At 62.6% G+C, this 6,900-nt stretch overlaps 1 long non-coding RNA gene across 2 annotated transcripts, besides 1 other annotated feature; it reads right to left on the bottom strand.

Annotated features, from left to right (window-relative positions):
• On the bottom strand, nucleotides 1,029-6,622 carry LOC105372842 (proline-rich protein 36-like). Of its 2 annotated transcripts, none has more exons than XR_001755088.2 (3): nucleotides 4,526-6,622; nucleotides 2,664-2,946; nucleotides 1,029-2,129 (listed from the first exon to the last, which is right to left on the bottom strand). It is a non-coding gene; the product is annotated as a proline-rich protein 36-like (long non-coding RNA). The 2 variants fall into 2 exon arrangements; XR_937804.2 differs by lacking the exon at nucleotides 4,526-6,622 and adding an exon at nucleotides 3,037-3,741.
• Nucleotides 1,035-1,677: an enhancer, noted in NCBI's record as "H3K27ac-H3K4me1 hESC enhancer chr21:47458799-47459441 (GRCh37/hg19 assembly coordinates)". NCBI's record gives its function as "activates a minimal SCP1, AML or CMV promoter by ChIP-STARR-seq in naive H9 embryonic stem cells {active_cell/tissue: H9 hESC(naive)}" and the evidence as "EXISTENCE:reporter gene assay evidence [ECO:0000049][PMID:30033119]".
• Nucleotides 6,623-6,900: the final 278 nt, after the last annotated feature.

Here is a 6,900-nt window from a genome sequence, read left to right as displayed (position 1 = left end):
CTGCCACGATCCCCCACAGGCCCCCCTGGTCCCTGCGCCCAGCCTGTCTTCCCTGGCCTGGGGACTGACCTCGGCTGGGGAGCCCACCTGGAAGTGAGTGGCCGTGTCCCCGCTGGGTGGGGAGGGACTGAAACCAGAGGGAGCTGAACCCCCAGGAGGAGAGGTTGGTCACTCAGCGGCCCTGGTGCCAGAGGTGAAGTGAGGGTGTTCACAGAGGACACCCCAAGGAGAAGATTTCAAAGACAGAGCTGCTCTGGGGGACGCCAGATCTGGGGTGGAAGCCCTGAGTGTGCGCAGGTGCCCAAGAAAGGGCTCCAGCTGCAGCAAAGAGACGGTCAGAAGCTGAAGGCCCAGGGACAGCTGTGCAGCCCCCGGGAGACTCGCTCAGATGCAGGCCACGGGGACCAGGGACATGCAGAGGGTCCTGGGAGAGGCTGGAGGGAGGATGGAGGGGGCCTCGCTCAGATGCAGGCCGCGAGGACCAGGGACACGCAGAGGGTCCTGGGAAGGGCTGGAGGGAGGGTGGAGGGCGGGACGTGGCTGGCTCGCGGGTGGCAGCGGTGGGGTGTGGTGAGGCCTACCATGCTGGTAACTGTTTACCCACTGGCCCTGAGGAAGAGCACCTGGGATTCGTCGCGAGTGCTGATTCCAGCTGGGAACACACCACCTCAGGAAGCTCCTGAACGCTGCAGTGGTGTTTCCACCGCGCAGATGCAGAGGCAGAAGGCACCTTTGTGACCATGGTATTTAACTTAATGTATTTAATTGTAAGTTTATGTAATTTTAAAAATAACATCTGTAGCCCGGGTGCGGTGGCTCACGCCTGTAATCCCAGCACTTTGGGAGGCTGAGGCTGACAGATCACCTGAGGTCAGGAGTTTGAGACCAGCCTGGCCAACTTGGCGAAACCCCGTCTCTACTAAAAATACAAAAACTAGCTGGGCGTGGTGGCCACCTGCAATCCCAGCTACCCAGGAGGCTGAGGCAGGAGAATCGCTGGAACCCGGGAGGCCAAGGCTGCAGTGAGCTGAGATCGTGCCACTGCACTCCAGCCTGGGTGACAGAGCAAGACTCTGTCTCAAATAAATAAATAACATCTGTGTTTAGCAACTGGCTCTCAAAGTTCTTGACAAGGAGACTTCGTGAGCGCTCAGGGTCTGGCGGGGTGTGGGTGAGGCAGAAGGAGCTGTGTGGTGGGGTGTGTCGGGGGCGCCTGGGTTGCCGGGCAGAGTCCCTGGAGGTGCAGTCAGTGGACATGAGGGGCCTGCAGGAAAAGGCGGTGGTGCGGGCCCAGGCCCTGCTGTACTGTGTGTGGACTCACCGGGTCCTTGGGGGGCATCCGGGCAGCCGGCTTCCCCGTGACTCACAGGCTGGCTACGCCAACGCCAGGATGTTTCCCTGGAGCCCCTCCCCGCTCTCCTCACAGAGCCAGGTCAGTGCGGGGGTGCAGACGGCTTCTACCAGGAAGCCGTGGGTCTGCGTGGGTGAAGCCTCCAAGGACACTTCTCTGTTTCAGGGTTGCCTGGGAACAAGCTCTCCGGCTCCCAGTGAGACCCTGATGTGGTGCGGCCTGGGTTGCAGCGCAGGCTCCTCTTCTGGTTCCAGCAGCCGCCAGAGGCCCCAGTGACGCCACAGGCCACACGCTGACCAGCAGCCTCGTCACTCACTCATTTTTCCAACAAGTCTTTGCCAAGAGGCAGCCGGGTGCCCACCTGGCACAAAGGCCTTTCCTCTTGGGGCATGGACTGGGTATATTTCGGGGCAGGAGAGAAGAGCTTTTGACAGCAAAACTCAAGGTCTGACGGCTGCTCAGAACACCGCCCAAATAGCGGCCCGAACACTCCAGGTGCCGTGAGCAGCATCGGGCTCGCCCGGCAAAGCCCCGCACGTCCTCCCACGTCCTCCCACGGGCTCCGTGTTTGATCACTGTGGTCCAAAACACTTGCTCCAGGCTCTTCTCTCACTCTGCCTCCATCCAGTCCCGGGAAAGGCACTCTGTGGTCGTGAGAAGCCAGGCATGGGGCATGAATCCCGTCCTGGGTGCAGCCGTGGGGCCTGGCCGGGCTCTTGGCCATCCCGAGATGCAGCTTCTGCAGGCCTGCAGGCTGAACGAAACACGGAGCGTCACTCTGTGAATACATGAAATAACAAAGAAGGATTTGGAGACAGAATTGACGATGGCACCTTGACAATGGGAGTTAATGTCTTAACTTAGGATGCCTTTCAGTTCGGGTTTCAGGTGACCTGGTTGAGAGGTGCTGCCCCGTCCCCCACACACCTTGGGAAGCCCTGAGCCCTGCTGGTGGGGACAGGCCAGGTGCAGCCCCCAACCCCCAGGCCCTTCTGGGCTGGACTGGCTCAGCCATCTGGAAGGCACCCGTGTGTCTCTGTGTGGACTGTGACCCCTCTGGGTGCATCCTCCAGGCAGAAGCCCAGCTCCCACCACTTCCTCCAGATAGCCGTAGGGCCTCTGCCTGGATAGGGTGTCCCCTGTGCCCCACACGACCCCAGAGGTCAAAGCCAGGCCTGGACGGAGAGGGAAGGCGTGGGACTCAGCCCTGATGGGCAGGGTTTTCTGGAGAATAAAGTGGGTGAAGGGACCCTCAGCAGGGTGTGGACGGCGGCTCACCCAGGATCACAACTTAGGGTGGATCATGTCTCACCGCGTCCCTTCCAAACGGGATTCTGTTGGTGAAAGCTGCACCCCCAGCATTCAGCTTTTTTCATGACAAGCCCCGAAGCCGCGTGTGTGGAGGGCGCCTCGTGTTCTGCCCGAAGCCGCGTGTGTGGAGGGCGTGTTCTGCCCGTGTGGGCGCCACGTGCCTGGGAGACAGTCCGAGTGGCAGTGGACGCCTGGCCGGGTCAGTTCACGCCGACAGGGAGACCCGTTCCCTCGGTCGTGGCATCAGCACGGGGGCTCAGCCTGTGCCTCTCAGCAAACGCCTCCTGAGTGGAGAAAAGGAACTGGGTAAATCGTTAGGAAGCATTCAGACCGGGACCCAGCACGCGACGTCCCCGGCACAGAGAGCCACTGACAGGTCATCCTGGAGGAAACTGTCCTCTGAGCACACACTTTGGAAACCCCATGGCCAGGGGAATCGGCGCGCGCGGGTGGCTGAATCGGCGCATGCAGGTGTCTGAAGGCCCCGAGGACAGAGGAGAAGCCTGTGAGTGCTTTGGGGCCTGACGCCCTCTAGGCCTCGTTCGTGACCAGCCTGGCTCTCCGGGCGCCGGCCCTGCTCCGCTCCGCATGTGAGGTCATGGTGCCCACAGTGTGGATGTAGGGCGCTGACGTGGACACGAAGGACCACCCACGGAGGTCTGGCCTGGCCATTTCCGCACCACAGAAAACCTTGGACTACATTTTCAAAATTGCACTTTTGTTTGATATTAAGCCGGTGATGGAAACGCAGGCTTCCTTCTTTACAATGCGTCTTGGCGTTTGTTACACACCCCCGAGCACTGGCCCAAGGAAGGCGTCAGCCGGGGCAGAATGTGTGAGGCCTTTCCACCTTCAGAGCCTTGGGCCAGCCCATCATGGGTTCTGCTGAGGCAGCACGGAGCACCTCCTCGGCTGGGACCTGCCCCCGCCCCCACTCTGGCCTCGCCTCAGGGCCTGCAGTTCTTTGGGGGTTATCTGGGGTGCCGGCCTCCCCTGGCTGCAGCCCCCGAGGTCAGGCCCGGCCTCCTGACTCCCGGGGGGCACTACGTGCTCTCCATCGTGGGGCCGGCACCTCTAGGGTCGGCAGCACCATCACAAGCCCCGGGCCCCCCTCGCTCCAGCTGCTCACCCAGCTGGAGGCCCCCACTGTCCTCCCTCCCACTGCCTCTCCCCGAGGCCCCCTGTGGCCCTCACAGCCCTGTCTGCAGGACGGGTCTCTGTGCCCCCTGGCAGCCATCAGTATCTCAAAGCAGCCCCAGGCCCAGCTCTGAATTCTGTGTCCCCGACGCTCTGTCACTCCATGTCGGCCGCACGTAGGCGGAGAGGCCTGATGGGAGCCATCTGGAGCCTCTTCAGGGCCAAGACGCGTCCCCAGACCGCAGCTTTCCGAGGAAGTGGGATGCTCTGGCGATGCCTCGTTTTAGCCCAGAGTGGTTTGTGGTCTGGAATGCTGGAGGAGGGCGCAGAGCGGGGGTCATCCTGGAGCTTCCGTGAACTCGTCACAGGCCTGGGCCTGCCTGCGCCGTCCATGGAGCAGAACCGAGGGGCAGCCTCTAGGGTCGAGGCCCTGAAGCCTGCCCCTGAGGAGGTGACACAGGGCCATGTGGGTCCAGGCTGTGTGGGCCCGAGCACTGTGGCCTGTTATGGCCATGTCTGCAGGTTCCGCAGCAGAACCTGTGTCCTCTGGCAGCCGCAGGCTGGGCCGCCTCACCCCTCCGGGAGGGGTGTTCCCAAACGCCCTCAGCAGCTGCCCACAGTCCTTAGGACAAAGCCCCCGTTGGGCTGCACTGCATGGACCCTGCTCACTATGGGGGCGATGCGTCCCCACCCCGCCGCCTGAATTCTGCCTGCAGGACCCCAAACCTGGTAATCCCTCCAATGCCCGGCTCCCGTCTCTCCTCGCTCCCTCCACGCCTTCCCCTGATTGTCCGTGGCTGGGCCCTGGATTCCGTTGTCTGGCAAGGCAGTCACTTCCCGGGGGCCCTGTAGAGTGGGCAGGGCTGCGGCTCCCGGGGAAACTCCATGGCACACCCCGTGCCTTTGCCGTGCAGCCTCCTGCCCAGGCGCACCCCCAGCCTAGTGCTCTGCGGGCCTCAGGATGGAAGCCGGGACAGTCTCTGCGGGGCCTCAGGGATGGAAGCCGGGTCAGTCTTTGTGGGGCCCCTGGGCTACATGCACACACCCGGGCCGACAGTTCCTGTTTTTCCTTTTCTTTTTAACTGGGAACTAAGGAAGGTCTTTGTGTGCCCGCTGACAAGGATGAAATTTTCCAGCTGACCACAGTAGAAAGTTCATCATACTGACTTATTTGTTGCTGTGAATGCAAGATAATTGCCCCTGTACCTTGTCCCTAAGACCTCGTTGAAGGACAAGACTGTATTGGAGGCTGGCACACACTGGAGAGGCCCGTCCACACCGCAGGTGACGCGGGGGTATTGGAGGCTGGCACACACTGGAGAGGCCCGTCCACACCGCAGGTGACGCGGGGGTATTGGAGGCTGGCAGACACTGGAGAGGCCCATCCACACCGCAGGTGACACAGGGGTATTGGAGGCTGGCACACACTGGAGAGGCCCATCCATACTGCAGGTGACGCGGGGGTATTGGAGGCTGGTACACACTGGAGAGGCCCGTCCACACCGCAGGAGACATGGGGGTATTGGAGGCTGGCACACACTGGAGAGGCCCGTCCACACCGCAGGTGACGCGGGGGTATTGGAGGCTGGCACACACTGGAGAGGCCCGTCCACACCGCAGGTGACGCGGGGGTATTGGAGGCTGGTACACACTGGAGAGGCCCGTCCACACCGCAGGAGACATGGGGGTATTGGAGGCTGGCACACACTGGAGAGGCCCGTCCACACCGCAGGTGACACGGGGGTATTGGAGGCTGGAACACACTGGAGAGGCCCATCCACACCGCAGGTGACGCGGGGGTATTGGAGGCTGGTACACACTGGAGAGGCCCGTCCACACCGCAGGAGACATGGGGGTATTGGAGGCTGGTACACACTGGAGAGGCCCGTCCACACCGCAGGTGACGCGGGGGTATTGGAGGCTGGCACACACTGGAGAGGCCCGTCCACACCGCAGGTGACGCGGGGGTATTGGAGGCTGGCACACACTGGAGAGGCCCGTCCACACCGCAGGTGACGCGGGGGTATTGGAGGCTGGCAGACACTGGAGAGGCCCATCCACACCGCAGGTGACACAGGGGTATTGGAGGCTGGCACACACTGGAGAGGCCCATCCATACTGCAGGTGACGCGGGGGTATTGGAGGCTGGCACACACTGGAGAGGCCCGTCCACACCGCAGGTGACGCGGGGGTATTGGAGGCTGGCACACACTGGAGAGGCCCGTCCACACCGCAGGTGACGCGGGGGTATTGGAGGCTGGCACACACTGGAGAGGCCCGTCCACACCGCAGGTGACGCGGGGGTATTGGAGGCTGGCACACACTGGAGAGGCCCGTCCACACCGCAGGTGACGCGGGGGTATTGGAGGCTGGCACACACTGGAGAGGCCCGTCCACACCGCAGGTGACGCGGGGGTATTGGAGGCTGGCACACACTGGAGAGGCCCGTCCACACCGCAGGAGACCCGGCGGCGCGATCCTTCTGCAGCTGGGCAGGGGAGGGTTTCGCTTCCTCAGGGGCCTCTTCAGGGTCATCCCTGGCACAGAGAATCGAACCAAAGTCCCTTCTAATCTCCCGTCAGTGGGAATCCTTACAAACACCTGGTGATTACACGGCTTCCAGAGATTGAGTAAATATTTACATTCCACGCTGGCTTGTTGATAAATATCCCTAACAGGAGTTACTGGACTTCAAGGGAATGAATTCTTAGTGGATATCTGTAACTATTTTAAAACCGAGATCTCATTTCCAAAGGAAAAAGCACAGGCCCTGCGAGTCCGCTCCGCGTTGGGTCCCCCCGGCACCGCGTGCTGCCTCCATGTGGGTCCCCCCGGCACCCCGTGCTGCCTCCATGTGGGTCCCCCCGGCACCGCGTGCTGCCTCCATGTGGGTCCCCCCGGCACCGCGTGCTGCCTCCATGTGGGTCCCCCCGGCATCCCGTGCTGCCTCCATGTGGGTCCCCCCGGCACCGCGTGCTGCCTCCGCGTTGGGTCCCCCCCACACCCCGTGCTGCCTCCGCGTTGGGTCCCCCCCACACCCCGTGCTGCCTCCGCGTTGGGTCCCCCCCGGCACCCCGTGGTGCCTCCGCGTTGGGTACCCC

This window comes from Homo sapiens, chromosome 21 (assembly GCF_000001405.40).
Source record: "Homo sapiens chromosome 21, GRCh38.p14 Primary Assembly".
Lineage (NCBI taxonomy): Eukaryota > Metazoa > Chordata > Mammalia > Primates > Hominidae > Homo > Homo sapiens.
This window is presented reverse-complemented; position numbering and strand designations above follow the sequence as displayed.